Source organism: Homo sapiens, chromosome X, assembly GCF_000001405.40.
Source record: "Homo sapiens chromosome X, GRCh38.p14 Primary Assembly".
Taxonomy (NCBI): domain Eukaryota; kingdom Metazoa; phylum Chordata; class Mammalia; order Primates; family Hominidae; genus Homo; species Homo sapiens.
The window spans coordinates 80,315,763-80,331,887 of NC_000023.11; the positions used below are offsets into that span (position 1 = coordinate 80,315,763).

Sequence of the window (16,125 nt, forward strand, 5' to 3'; positions counted from 1 at the left end):
GTTTTAATTGTCTTCTAAGATGGTTTTTAACGAAGTGGTGGAAGAAGTGCTCTCAAATGTGGGCTTCTCACAACAAAAAAAATACAGAACTCATGAAAAGCTAAAATGTTTACAAATCTCAAGCAAAACAAAAGTTAATAAAATGGACTAAACTAGTAAAAAACAAAAACAAGTTTTTACCTTTTGCTTAGAACACTGCTAATTTTTAGTTTATTTTTCAGAGTCAAGAAAACTTGTCTTAAGCTAGCTACAGCCTTTTACAACTAACTAAAGTATACTCCTTTAAACAGAATTTAAAGTGTGTTTGTTTCTCTCTGCTAGTTCCTCTAGAATTTGAAAACTAGTTACAAGTATTCTTAAACTACAACAGTATTGTTGTTTGCATCAGTGCAATAAAAATCTATTTTCTTTTGTGGCTGGGCGCAGTGGCTCACACCTGTAATCCCAGCACTTTGGGAGGCCAAGGCCGGCGGATCACGAGGTCAGGAGATCGAGACCATCCTAGCCAACATAGTGAAACCCTGTCTCTACCAAAATACAAAAAATTAGCCGAGCGTGGTGGTGCACGCCTGTAGTCCCAGCTGCTCAGGAGGCTGAGGCAGGGGAGTCACTTGAGCTCGGGACGCCAAGGTTGCCCTGAGCCAAGATCTCACCACTGCACTCCAGCCTGGCAACAGAGCAAGACTCTGTCTAAAAAAAAAAAAGGCGGGGGTGGGAATCTATTTTCTTTTGTAACAGAACAAAGTTGGAAAAACTGGTTATTTTACCAAGGCTTTGACTGGAATGATGTGCTCTCCTTTAAGGAATTAAACTTGACTGAAGGAGCCAATAAAACCCTTGGAAAACTGGCCTCATGCTTTGTGTACACAGTCCCTGTACAAAGTTTCTGACCTGTGGTAAGTAAAGACTATCAATTTCTGACAGGCCAGGAACCCCAAGTTATCTTAAAACCTCAAGAAGAGAGGAATTCAACCAACTCATAGGTATTTAATGGTAAAAATCCATCGCTGGGCTTGACTTTTAAAAGTCTTATCTCAAATACCTTCTATGTAACAAAGTTCCATCAAAGACTATTTAAAAGGCCTATGTAGCAAGTAATTATTCTTGCTGCACTGTATACAAATAATTAAGCCAAGTATAATAAAGATTTGTATTTTAATAAAAATGTGAAACTGAAGACAAAATTGTGTTTCAAAAACTATAGCACACCTGTTGTTAAATTCTAGTATTGCCTAATGTTTTTGTTTTTATTATTTTCTACAGTTTAAATTATATCCGTTACAGAACAACTCCTGGATACATCACACTCAAGTCAAAGCCTAAAGAGCTGAGAAAGCAACCCCTAACAGCCCAGAAAAATACCCTAAATATCAATGTAAAAAAAATAAGAAATCTTATACTGAAAATCATAAAAGATAACTAAGTAAAAATTACTCATCTTACTCAATCTCAACCCTGCCTCACCAAATACTTTTGTCGCTTCTACCTCTCCTTTTAATCCAAATATTAAAACCTTTTTAATGGAAATTTAGTAAGCCACCCTTGTGGGAACTGCTTTACTCACTCTACTATTTGTAGTAGAACTACATACTGTAGCACTATCAGAGTAGAATACCGGACACAGAATCTCAATTACCATAGCATTTTGGTTAATTCTTATCCTCATAGAAGGAGTAACAGTTACTAACAAAAAATAACACATGGGTCTTTCCAAACACATGCCTCTGCCTCTCATTGGGGAAGAAATGTTGCTTCTAACTCAACCAATCGTGCCTAATAAGAAACACTGCTGAAAAGCCTACAACTAATGTTTTAACCCTGCCTAATTAACCTTTTTCGTTTTTTTTTTTTTAACTGACAGAATCATGGCCATTTCGCAGACAACTGCCTCAAAACATCTACACACAGTGTTGCTCCTGCAGGCAATCTGAGACCAAGAAACTCTCCACACCCCCATCAGCAGGAAGTAACCAGAAAGAACACATCGCCCCTCATCCTTTTATAACTATAGGGCCTAGAATGACAGAGCAGGAGCACCATCATCTCAGACAAACACTGCCACTTTCAGTTCCAGCTCCCATTCTAGCCTCATGCATTTCAAGGAAATCACTTCTCTTCTAACTACAAGCAGCCAGAAAGAGCAGACAGTAAAACACAGATAAGACAGCTAAGGCACAGAGGGAGGTGGGGGGAAAGTCTCTTTGTTAACTGCCAATCTTCACCCCCTTTCGAAAGAAACTTTCATGTTTCCTCTTTCTTTAATTCTTACAATACCAATTATTTTTGATGAGTTAATATAGTTAACATATTCTTTTATGTTTTTTAAAGAATGGTTTCAGCTATGATTAAACCTGAAATTTACTGTAAACTTCAAATACTGAGGACTGACTACTGAATACGTCTTATAACTTAGTCTTATTTAATAATTAGGATTACAGTATAAAATACTGGCCAAAAAATAGATCTTTCACAACCGTGCATTCTGTTCCATAATGCTTTTTCCCCCAAAAGACTTGAGCTACTTCTAGAAATATGGAAGCCTAAAGAGTTAGAAAAACACTCTGAAATACTGAATAAACTATAATAGAAGTCCAAAAGAAGGAAAATCCGCTGGGAAAGAACAAAACAGGAAGAAGGAACTATTAGTAAGCAAGCACTGAAGCTCCTGAAACTCCCACAGTGTTGGAACTGAACTTTTTGAATAATGACAGAACCCTTGAAGGTTACAACATTAGCACAAGGGTAGGTAGAAAAATATCTTATCAGCCAGCAAGGGATTATAAGATGATATGATTAACTTTCTACGGGCCTTAGGTGGAAGCTGAGGGTGAAACAAAGGCTCTCCTACAAATTTATAGCCACAGCAATGTCATCATGTGGAGTTGGGTTTCAAATGTGTCCTCCTGGAAGGATCTGGGAAACCCCATCCTGAAATATTAAAATACTTCCAAGTTGGAGAAACATCTTCAACCCAGGAATTTTAGGATTCCCTTAGGTTTCAATGACTAGATGTATAAAACTAAAAATTAAATAAAGTTGAGGAGAAAAATAGCAGACTGTAATACAGATTGCATACAAACAGATTGTAATACAAACTGTAATACAAAATATGTAAAGGTTATATTCAAGGAGATGATGCATGAGACTCTTCGCATAACTGATGAAAGTAACCTTTAATATTTTAATTCAGGAAGCATAAAAAATGCCAAGCAGAAAATAAATCTACACTAGATATATTACAGTAAGCCTCTGACTACCGAAGACAATAACAACTTTAAAAGAGCCATAGTGAAAGTTCAGATAATTTACAAAAGATCTAAAATTAGACTCCAAAGAATTTTCAAACAAAACACTAATTTCCAAAGGAAGTACAATTGATTCATGTTGTCCAAGGTAGTCATGGTCTAATTAAGTTGCTGAGAATACCAAATTAGCAAATACTGAACCATTACTTCTAGGGGAAATACAGGAATAGGTGGTTACATTTTCATCAACTGATCAATATATAACCTTATCCCAAGACGGCCAAATAGTAACAGCTCCAGTCTGCAGCTCCCAGAGTGATTGATGCAGAAGACAGGTGATTTCTGCATTTCCAACTGAGGTACCTGGTTCATCTCACTGGGACTGGTTGGAGAGTGGGTGCAGCCCACTGAGGGCGAGCCAAAGCAGGGTGGGGCATCGCCTCACCCAGGAAGTACAAGGGGTTGGGGGATTTCCCTTTCCTAGCCAAGGGAAGCCGTGACAGACTGTACCGGGAAAATTGGGACACTCCCACCTTAATACTGCACTTTTCCAATGGTCTTAGCAAACGGCACACCAGGAGATTATATGCCATGCCTGGCTCAGCGAATCCCATACCCACAGAGCCTGCTCACTGCTAATGCAGCAGTCTGAGATCGAACTGTGAGGCAGCAGCTTGGCTGGAGGACGGGCGTCCGCCATTACTGAGGCTTGAGTAGGGACACAAAGTGGCCGGGAAGCTCAAACTGGGTGGAGCCCACCATAGCTCAACAAGGCCTGCCTGCCTCTGTAGACTCCACCTCTGAGGGCAGGGCATAGCTGAACAAAAGGCAGTAGAAACTTCTGCAGACTTAAGCGTCCCTGTCTGACAGCTCTGAAGAGAGCAGTGGCTCTCCCAGTATGGTGTATGAGCTCTGAGAACAGACAGACTGGCTCCTCAAGTGGGTCCCTGACCCCCGTGTAGCCTAACTGGGAGACACCTCCCAGACACATCCTGGTAGGGGCCGACTGACACCTTATACAGCTGGGTGTCCCTCTGAGACGAAACTTCCAGAGGAAGGATCAGGTAGCAATATTTGCTGTTCTACAATATTTGCTGTTCTGCAGCCTCCGCTAGTGATACCAGGCAAACAGTGTCTGGAGTGGACCTCCAGAAAACTCCAACTGACCTGCATCTGAGGGTCCTGACTGTTAGAAGGAAAACTAACAAACAGAAAGGAATAGCATCAATGTCAACAAAAAGGGCATCCACACCAAAACCCCATCTGTAGGTCACTATCATCAAAGACCAAAGGTAGATAAAACCACGAACATGGGGAGAAACCAGAGCAGAAAAGCTGAAAATTCTAAAAACCAGAGCGCCTCTTCTCCTCCAAAGGATCGCAGCTCCTTGCCAGTGACGAAACAAAGCTGGACGGAGAATGACTTTGATGAGTTGACAGAAGTAGGCTTCAGGAGGTCGGTAATATCAAACTTCTCCAGGCTAAAGGAGGATGTTCAAACCCATCACAAGGAAGCTAAAAACCTTGAAAAAATTAGACAAATGGCTAACTAGAATAAACAGTGTAGAGAAGACCTTAAATGACCTGATGGAGCTGAAAACCATGGCACAAAAACTACATGACGCATGCACAAGCTTCAATAGCCAATTCAATCAAGGAAGAAAGGATATCAGTGATTGAAGATAAAATTAATGAGATAAAGCAAGAAGACAAGGTTAGAGAAAAAAGAGTAATTTTTACTCTTTTGAACAAAGCCTCCAAGAAATATTGGACTATGTGAAAAGACCAAATCTACGTTTGATTGGTGTACCTGAAAGTAATGGGGAGAATGGAACCAAGCTGGAAAACACCCATCAGGATATTATCCCCGAGAACTTCCCCAATCTAGCAAGGCAGGCCAACATTCAAATTCAGGAAATACAAAGAACACCACAAAGATACTCCTCGAGAAGAGTAACTCCAAGACACATAATTGCAAGATTCAGCAAGGTTGAAATGAAGGAAAAAATGCTAAGGGCAGCCAGAGAGAAAGGTCAGGATACCCACAAAGGGAAGCCCATCAGACTAACAGCAGATCTCTCAGCAGAAAGTCTACAAGTCAGAAGAGAGTGGAGGTCAACATTCAACATTCTTAAAGAAAAGAATTTTCAACCCAGAATTTTGTATCCTGCCAAACTAAGCTTCATAAGTGAAGGAGAAATAAAATCCTTTACAGACAAGTAAATGCTGAGAGATTTTGTCACCACCAGGCCAGTCTTACAAGAGCTCCTAATGCTATCCCTCCCCCCTCCCCCCACCCCACAACAGAGAGTTAATGGGTGCAGCACACCAACATGGCACATGTATACATATGTAACAAACCTGCACGTTGTGCACATGTACCCTAGAACTTAAAGTATATAAAAAAAGAGCTCCTGAAGAAAACACTAAACATGGAAAAGAACAACCAGTACCAGCCACTGCAAAAACATGCCAAATTGTAAAGTCCATCAATGCTAGGAAGAAACTGCATCAACTAACAGGCAAAATAACCAGCTAACAATCATAACGACAGGATCAAATTCACACATAACAATATGAACCTTAAATGTAAATGGGCTAAATGCCCCAATTAAAAGACACAGACTGGCAAACTGGATAAAGAGTCAAGACCCATCAGTGTGCTGTATTCAAGAGACCCATCTCATGTGCAGAGACATATATAGGCTCAAAATAATGGGATAGAGGAAGATATACCAAGCAAATTGAAAGCAAAAAAAAAGCAGGGGTTGCAATCCTAGTCCCTGATAAAACAGACTTTAAACTAACAAAGATCAAAAGAGACAAGGCCATTACATAATGGTAAAGGGATCAATTCAACAAGAAGAGCTAAGTATCCTAAATATATATGCACCCAATACAGTAGCACTCAGATTCCTAGAGCAAGTCCTTAGAGACCTACAAAGGGACTTAGACTTCCACACAACAATAATGGGAGAGTTTAACACCCCACTGTCAATATTAGACAGATCAACAAGACAGAAGGTTAACAAGGATATCCAGGACTTGAACTCAGCTCTGAACCAAGTGGACCTAATAGACATCTACAGAACTCTCCACCAAAAATCAACAGAATATACATTCTTCTCAGCACCATATCGCATTTATTCCAAAATTGACCATACAGTTGGAAGAAAAGCACTCCTCAGCAAATGTAAAAGAACAGAAATCACAACAAACTGTCTCTCACACCACAGTGCAACCAAATTAGAACTCAGGATAAAGAAACTCATTCAAAAACACACAACTACATGGAAACTAACAACCGGCTCCTGAATGACTACTGAGTAAATAACGAAATGAAGGCAGAAATAAAGATGTTCTTTGAAACCAATGAGAACAAAGACACAATGTGCCAGAATCTCTGGGACACATTTTAAGCAGTGGGTAGAGGGAGATTTATAGCACTAAATGCCCAAAAGAGAAAGCAGGAAAGATCTAAAATCAACACCCTAACATCACAATTAAAAGAACTAGAGACGCAAGAGCAAACAAATTCAAAAGCTAGCAGAAGACAAGAAATAACTAAAATCAGAGCAGAACTGAAGGATATAGAGAAACAAAAAGCCCTCCAAAAAATCAATGAAGCCAGGAGCTGGTGTGTTGAAAAGATCAACAAAATTGATAGACCGCTAGCAAGACTAATAAAGAAAAAAGAGAGAAGAATCAAATAGATGCAATAAAAAATGATAAAGGGGATATCACCACTGATCCCACAGAAATAGAAACTACCATCAGAGAATACTATAAACACCTCCATGCAGATAAACTAGAAAATCTAGAAGAAATCGATAAATTCCTGGACACATACACCCTACCAAGACTAAACTAGGAAGACATTGAATCCCTGAAAACACCAATAAAAGGCTCTGAAATTGAGGCAATAACTAATAGCCTACCAACCAAAAAAAGTCCAGGACCAGACGGATTCACAGCCGCATTCTACCAGAGGTACAAAGAGGAGCTGGTACCATTCCTTCTGAAACTATTCCAATCAAGAAAAAGAGGGAATCCTCCCTAACTCATTTTATGAGGCCAGCATCATCCTGATACCAAAGCCTGGCAGAGACACAACAAAAAAAGAGAATTTTAGACCAATATCCCTGATGAACCTTGATGCAAAAATCCTCAATAAAATACTGGTAAACCGAATCCAGCAGCACATCAAAAAGCTTATCCACCAAGATTAAGTTGGCTTCATCCCTGGGATGCAAGGCTGGTTCAACATAGGCAAATAAATAAACATAACCCATCAAATAAACAGAACCAAAGACAAAAACCACATGATTATCTCAATAGATGCAGAAAAGGCCTTCGACAAAATTCAAAAGCGCTTCATGCTAAAAACTCTCAATAAACTAGGTATAGATGGAACGTATCTCAAAATAATAACAGCTATTTATGACAAACCCACAGCCAATATCATACTGAATGGGCAAAAACTGGAAGCATTCCCTTTGAAAAATGCCACAAGACAAGGATGCCCTCTCTCACCACTCCTATTCAACATAATGTTGGAAGTTATGGCCCGGGCAATCAGGCAAGAGAAAGAAATAAGGGGTATTAAATTAGGAAAAGAGGAAGTCAAATTGTCCCTGTTTGCAGATGACATGATTGTATATTTTGAAAACCCCATCATCTCAGCCCAAAATCTCCTTAAGCTGATAAGCAACTTCAGCATAGTCTCAGGATACAAAATAAATGTACAAAAATCACAAGCATTCCTATACACCAATAACAGACAAACAGAGAGCCAAATCATAAGTGAACTCCCATTCACAATTGCTACAAAGAGAATAAAATACCTGGGAATCCAGCTTACAAGGGATGTGAAGGACCTCTTCAAGGAGAACTACAAACCCCTGCTCCACTAAATAAAAGAGGGCACAAACAAATGGAAGAATATTCCATGCTCATGGATAGGAAGAATCAATATCGTGAAAATGGCCACACTACCCAAAGTAATTTATAGATTCAAGGGTATCCCCATCAAGCTACCAATGACTTTCTTCACAGAATTGGAAAAAACTACTTTAAAGTTCATATGGAACCAAAAAAGAGCCCGCATTGCCAAGTCAATCCCAAGCAAAAAGAACAAAGTTGGAGGCATCACGCTACCTGACTTCAAACTATACTGCAAGGCTACAGTAACCAAAACAGCATGGTACTGGTACCAAAACAGAGATATACACCAATGGAACAGAACAGAGGCCTCAGAAATAACACCACACATCTACACCCATCTGATCTTTGACAAACCAGACAAAAACAAGAAATGGGGAAAGGATTCTCTATTTAATAAATGGTGCTGGGAAAACTGGGTAGCCATATGTAGAAAGCTGAAACTGGATCCCTTCCTTACACCTTATACAAATTAATTCAAGATGGATTAAATACTTCAATGTTAGACCTAAAACCATAAAAGCCCTAGAAGAAAACCTAGGCATACCATTCAGGACATAGGCATGGGCAAGGAATTCATGACTAAAACACCAAAAGCAATGGCAACAAAAGCCAAAATTGACAAATGGGATCTAATTAAACTAAAGAGCTTCTGCACAGCAAAAGAAACTACCATCAGAGTGAATGGACAACTTACAGAATGGGAGAAAATTTTTGCCATCTACCCATCTGACAAAGGGCTAATACCCAGAATCTACAAAGAACTTAAACAAATTTAAAAGAAAAAATGAAACAACCCCATCAAAAAGTGGGCAAAGGATATAAACAGACACTTTTCAAAAGAATACATTTATGCAGCCAAAAACACATGAAAAAATGCTCATCATCACTGGCCATCAGAGAAATGCAAATCAAAACCACAATGAGATACCATCTCACACCAGTTAGAATGGCGATCATTAAAAAGTCAGGAAACCACAGGTGCTGGAGAGGATGTGGAGAAATAGGAATGCTTTTACACTGTTAGTGGGAGTGTAAACTAGTTCAACCACTGTGGAAGACAGTGTGGCAATTCCTCAAGGATTTAGAGCTAGAAATACCATTTGACCCAGCAATCCCATTACTGGGTATATACCCAAAGGGTTATAAATCATGCTAGTATAAAGACACATGCACACGTATGTTTATTGCGGCACTATTCACAATAGCAAAGACTAGGAACCAACCCAAATGTCCATCAATGATAGACTGGATTAAGAAAATGTGGCACATATACACCATGGAATACTATGCAGCCATAAGAAAGGATGAGTTCATGTCCTTTTTAGGGACTTGAATGAAGCTGGAAACCATCATTCTTAGCAAACTATCGCAAGGACAGAAAACCAAACACCACATGTTGTCCCTCATAGGTGGGAATTGAACAATGAGAACACTTGGACACAGGGAGGGGAATATCACACACTGGGGCCTGTTTTGGGGTGGGGGTATGGGGGAGATATAGCATTAGGAGAAATATCTAATGTAAATGACGATTTAATGGGTGCAGCAAACAAACATGGCACATGTACACATATGTAACAAACCTGCACATACACATGTACCCTAGAACTTAAAGTATTTTATATATATATAAAACCTTATTTTATATATATATATAAAACCTTATTTTATATATATATAAAACCTTATTTTATATATATATATAAAACCTTATTTTATATATATATAAAACCTTATTTTATATATATATATAAAACCTTATTTTATATATATATATAAAACCTTATTTTATATATATATATAAAACCTTATTTTATATATATATAAAACCTTATTTTATATATATATATAAAACCTTATTTTATATATATATATAAAACCTTATTTTATATATATATATAAAACCTTATTTTATATATATATATAAAACCTTATTTTATATATATATAAAACCTTATTTTATATATATAAAACCTTATTTTATATATATAAAACCTTATTATATATATATAAAACCTTATTTTATATATATATAAAACCTTATTTTATATATATATAAAACCTTATTTTATATATATATAAAACCTTATTTTATATATACAACACCTTATTTATATATATATATATATAAAACCTTATGTTATATGGGTTTCTGTTATAACACATCTAATTTAGTAAATATTGTTGATTCATTAACATTGACTTCACAGGCAACAGCACTGTGATTCATGCCTGAAAGAAGCTTCTCTAACGCATGGATTTTCTCCATAAGACACATCACAACGTTATTGCCCTTAGGAACACTAGGAAGCACTTCAGCAGTAAGCTTGAGGACCATTTTAAACAATAAAATTACCAACAAAAAACACAAAAATACAAAAATATGTGGCACTAAGTAGGAAGCAAAAAAGACACTTGTTTACAGTATGCAAACTGAAGAAAGAAGAACGAGCATTAATTGCCTTGTCCTGCTTCAGCTGGGAACACACACATTGGGCAAAATCAATTTTTACTGCTCTGTTTATGTCCTGGAATAACCATGAAATTGCCCCAACTATTGATTTTTCAGGTTACCAATTTTAGAAGGCAGGAAAATTTGCAAATAGAGAATCTTACGATAATGAATATCAACTGTATTTCATAAGAAACAAAATTATGTTTGACATAATGAAAAGCTTGGTGAGCATAGAGATTAGTAACCACATGGGTAAATCCAGAGAAATACTGATTATACAAGATAATTGTAACGTTTAATTTTGGAAATAAGAAGGCAGAGCTAGCATACACCATGAAAATACAATACAGACAATGGAGTGACTGAAGTTCAATATTTTAAAATCTTTGTATTATTCAGAAAGAAAACATTTCTGATTAAACTGACATTAAATAAACTACCCATGTTAAAATGTCAAGGGTACTGCTGAAGAAGCAGTGTGTAATTTCCAAAACAATAAAGGAAAAAATGGAGTGAATCACTTAATAAATCCAAAAAGCAGCAAAAGAGAAGTGAATCACAAAGAAAACAGGCCACACAGAAATTACACAATAAAAGGACAGAAATATCCCCAAAATGTCAGGATGGACTAAGAAAATATTAAAACAAATTACAACGATGTGCTTTAAACAGGACTTTAAGACATGAAGGCATAGAAAGGCTAGAGGTAAAAAGACAGAAAAAGTTATGCCCAGACAAATACTGTCCTAAAATAAGCAGCTACATCTTTATTAGTATCAATTAAAACAGACTACATAAAGCAGTATTATAATTTTTTAAGAGGGGTCACTATAAAATGATAAAAAGTACACTCATGAATTGATGAAATAATTATAGATTTCCATGTACTCCTAGCATAGCTTCAAAATGTCTTTGTGTATGCATATTTTAAACCGACAGAAATTAACAAGTCTTGGGAGATACCAATAAAACCTTTTCAGTTATCTAACAAAGCTACATAAGGAGATAGAAGTATGAAAGACCCTATTAAGAAGCAGACTTTAATAATTATACAGAGAATTATGGCTAGTTATGCCCCAATAATTTGAGAATACACATCTTCCTCAAGTATATGAAAACTCATCATGTATTGGGCCATAAAGCAAATCTGAAATAAGAGATACCAGACAAATCTACTATCTAACCATTATTCAATAATTTACTAATTGATATGCAAATTCTCTTCATGTTACAAAAAGAATGGATAAATTGTAGTATATTTCTACAATGAAAAACTATATAGAAGTGAAAATGAATATCATGAATGAATCCCAAATATCATTTTGATTAAAAAAGAAAATAGCAATATAATTCCACACATAAAATTTGGAAACATCTAATATATAGCTATATCTTAGGAATGTACATGTGGTAAAACATAAACACATGGAAATCATAAACATCAATGTTTAGATAGTGGTACCTTTGGTGGGAGAAGGAAGGTGAGTTGGTAATATTTTATTTCTTAAGCCTAGTGGTAGGTAACTGTGTTTGTTTTATTTCTTGTGGTTTTTAGGGAGATAAAGATTAAAATTACATAATTTTTTTAAATTATTCAAATAAAAGGTTAGATTAAGAGCTTATGGTCCTTGTTCCATGAGATTGTATCTTCATTTTAAAAAGGAGGGTTGTTTGAAAATTAAAAGAAAAAAAAAAGCTCATATTAAATATAAACAGATGTTCCTCAACTTACAATGAGGTTATGTTTGGATAAGCCCACTGTAAGTTAAAAATATCCTAAGTTGAAAATCCATTTAGCACCTAACCTACTGAACATTGTAGCTTAGCCTAGCCTTCAAATGTGCTCAGAATACTTACATTAGCCTGCAGTTGGGCAAAGATCATCTAACACAAAGCCAATTATGTAATAAAGTGCTGAATATCTCATGTAATTTCTGGAATACTGTAATTTAGTGAATACTTGTTTAAATATACTGTACAGTATTCAATAAATTACATAATTAAATATACTATACAGTATTCAATAAATTACACATTATATAAAGAATGATTGAAATAATGGTTGTACGGGTACTCAAAATATGGTGTCTACTAAATTGCATATCACTTTCACACTACGGTAAAGTAAAAAAATTGAAAGTAAATCACTGCTAGAATATGGACAACACTGTCAAGAATGTCTAACAATATTATTACTGAACATGTTTGTGCTTGATATAAATTTAATATAAAGTAGCAGCTTTTCAGGGCTCTGTTTTCACATATTCTTTTCCTAAACTTTAAGTATACTGTTAGAAATACAAATTTGAAGTTTATACAATGTCAGTAGCTACTTACTTTGAAATTCCTGTTATTTTGCATATAACATTATATACTTTTATGTACTTTACTATAACTCTGTTTACATGTCTAATTCTTCAACTAGACTATGGGTATCCTGGTAATAAGGATGAGTCCTAATCATCATTGTATCATCAGCCTAGTATAATGCTCAACAGAAGTGAAGTATTCGATATCTTTAAGTAAAGGAATAGTAGAAAAGTGTTCTTGCAGTGTTATATGAGTTGTGGAGAAAAAAGCACCACTGATGCTGGGGAAGAAGACTCAGTTATACATTTAAATTTACAAAACAAATTTATACCAAAAGAATGCTGTTTATTTGTGTTACATATTAGGATTCCACATACAATTTCATTCGGAATAAAAGGGCTCTGCTGCTGAAAGAGTTAGAAAACTAATGTCATAGATGTTCTGCAACATTTTTACTTCATGAACTGATATAATTAAAAGTACAAATATATCAGCACCAAAAATGTAGGAAGGAGAGTCTCAGAAGAAAGGGTAGCTCTTAAAACTGAGTACATTTAGCTTTGCAAAATAGATTACCCTTTTTAATTTTTCCCATTTTGACTTGATCATGAAACCTCATCACAGGCCAAAATATTGCACAGTATTTCAAATCTGGTTCATAACTCAATTCAGTAGCTGAATTGATGCTATTATTTTCCACATCAGCAGTCTATTTTCTCCACTGCAACATAGAGAATCCTCACTTATTGTAGTATACATAGAGGATAGTTATTTGAACAGCAGACACTTGAATTTAAGGGAATCTCATATCCTGGTTTTAGAAACTACCCAATAGTTACAAGCAGGATTTAGACCTAGGGATGTTCTCATTTCTGGCTTACCACAGAACATTCATCATCAGAGAAATGCTGGTGTCATAAGCCAACTGGGCTACATATACATATATGAATGTATTTGGCAGTGGTGCTTTGGGCATCCTTTGTTGCAAAATGAATTCCTCTATCTCAAAAGTAATTTTCCCCATGACTCAGTGGATTATTATTCCTATTTCTGCCACTGCTGCCAACGTTAATGCTTTAATACCTTACTTAACCAATATTCTCAAGTATTATGGTGTTTCACATAAAGACATTTTAAGCTGTGGTTCAGGTTCAATTTTAAATGCCTAAACTTCTTTTTTTAAAAACTGGGAATACCTTAAAAATGATTTATGCATCCTTTGAGTAATATACAAAATGGTACATATTTTCCTAATCACTCAGAATCCATCTGATAGTTGTTAATAACTGTTATTTGATGTAATTGATAGTTTTATGTTTCCTCCTTTGATGTCAGGCTGTCAATTGTCACTTCTACTGTTTGTATACCTATGTCTTGTAGCCCTCTCTCTTTCTCTCTCTCTCTCTCTCTCTCTCTGTTGTTAATATGAAGGTCTAAGAAATAATTAAAGATGGTAGATTTTGGAAAAAAATAAGTCAGTAAGTTCTGATTTATAATGACAGGTGGGCCAGAGAGCTCACATAGCTAGAGACAGAACTAGGGCAGTAACCCAGTCCTCTCGTTCACAGTCACTATATTTTCAATACCTGATCTAGGTAGTAGGATTCTTAACTGGAGGTATTCACTTCCTTGGGTTAGATTTATTCAGCCCCTGTGAGGTTTAGCACATACCATTATGCTTGCTTTTCAGTTAATATAAAACATAACCCTGACTCTGAGAAACTGATTTCAAAGGTCTCCACTAATGGCATCAGGTTTCTTTCCTCATCCCAATATCCATGCAAAAGCAAAAAACTACCTCACTTGGACCTTGAGATTGATAAATAAGGAAATCAATAAATAGCTGAACATTTAGATTTCAAATTTTCAAAAAGTATTAATTCCCTTCCTTCCAATTTTACAAAATCAAAATTTAAAATATTACATCATACAAATGTACCTTTTAAATGAGAATATATATGAAACAGACTTGTCTTCAAGAGAATCTAGGCTAGCCTTTCCCATAAAGTGATTGTGTAGATTCACATCTTTTTCAAACTCCTTTTAAAGCAAAACCCCAAGTAGACTATCAATATATAGAAAAAGTAGCTCTGCATAACCCATAGGACTCCATCAAACATGACTTAATTGTGCTGTAAGTTCTAGAGGCACTGCAGAAAATGAAGAGACTTCAGAGCCCAGCCTAGGTCGTTTACTCTATGCTTACAAGCCCTGTGGCTTTCATAGCTTTAATTTCCTCTTCTATAAAATGGAGATAATATCATTTGTCTCCCAGTGCTGCTTTGAGGATCATAGATAATGTACACAAAATCCTCAGCACAAAATTTGGCACATAGTAGTTCAATAAATGAGAGCTATTGTAATTACCTCCTTGTGACTTTGCTAAGTCACCTACATTAATTGGATAATAATAAAAAGTCTGAATGTCTCTTTAAAACATTAATATAATTTCTTTTATTTGTAGTTACACTGTTGATAGAGAAAGTGTGGAAATCAGCTATGTCTTAGATCATTGCTTTGAAATCTAAATAAGAATCATTAGGTTTCAACATATTTATTGTACATATAGAAGGAAGCCTTGCTTTTAGAATTGAATGCAACTATTTTCCTGAATAAAAATTGTTATACTCAGTTTACCATAGAAATTCATAGTAGAAATATGTCCCCTCTGCCTCTCTGAAATGGATGGAAAAACACCAAGTGAAAATAAGTTATCCAAACACAGCATGGCAGAAGCTATTTTATTCCAAGTGTCAAAAGCAGGATGATGCAATCTCCTGGGTACACAGAAGTTGGATAAAAAGCAGGTAAGAGAAAGAAAATAAAAATGTTCCACTAGCAGCTGCCCTAGAATAAGGCAGCGGTACCAATACTATAGATTTTTATTCATGCATTTGACAACAAGTGGCATTTTGCATCCAACTTTCCTCCTTTTAAGCTCACAGCATCTTAAGCATTCTTTGTATATTTAGGGGAAGTAGAGTTTGGGATCACAGAATCACAGGAAGATTATCAGAATTGAAAGGAACTTTACAGATAATTTGTCAACCTCCTCATTTTACTGATGTGAAAACTGAATTCCAGAGATGAATAACTGAGAAAAAATTGCTGAATATAAGAACAAGGAGGAATTCGAGTCCAGCTCAACTCTTATTTCCCTCTTTGCATTTT

At 36.0% G+C, this 16,125-nt stretch overlaps 1 pseudogene across 1 annotated transcript in view, besides 1 other annotated feature; it reads right to left on the reverse strand.

Annotated features, from left to right (window-relative positions):
- Positions 1–16,125, reverse strand: part of CHMP1B2P (charged multivesicular body protein 1B2, pseudogene) — a 106,830-nt pseudogene that overhangs the window by 87,274 nt on the left and 3,431 nt on the right. The window lies entirely within an intron of this gene.
- Positions 1,848–2,142: a silencer, noted in NCBI's record as "tiled region #5203; HepG2 Repressive non-DNase unmatched - State 24:Quies". NCBI's record gives its function as "represses a minimal TATA promoter and a strong SV40 promoter by Sharpr-MPRA in HepG2 cells {active_cell/tissue: HepG2}" and the evidence as "EXISTENCE:reporter gene assay evidence [ECO:0000049][PMID:27701403]".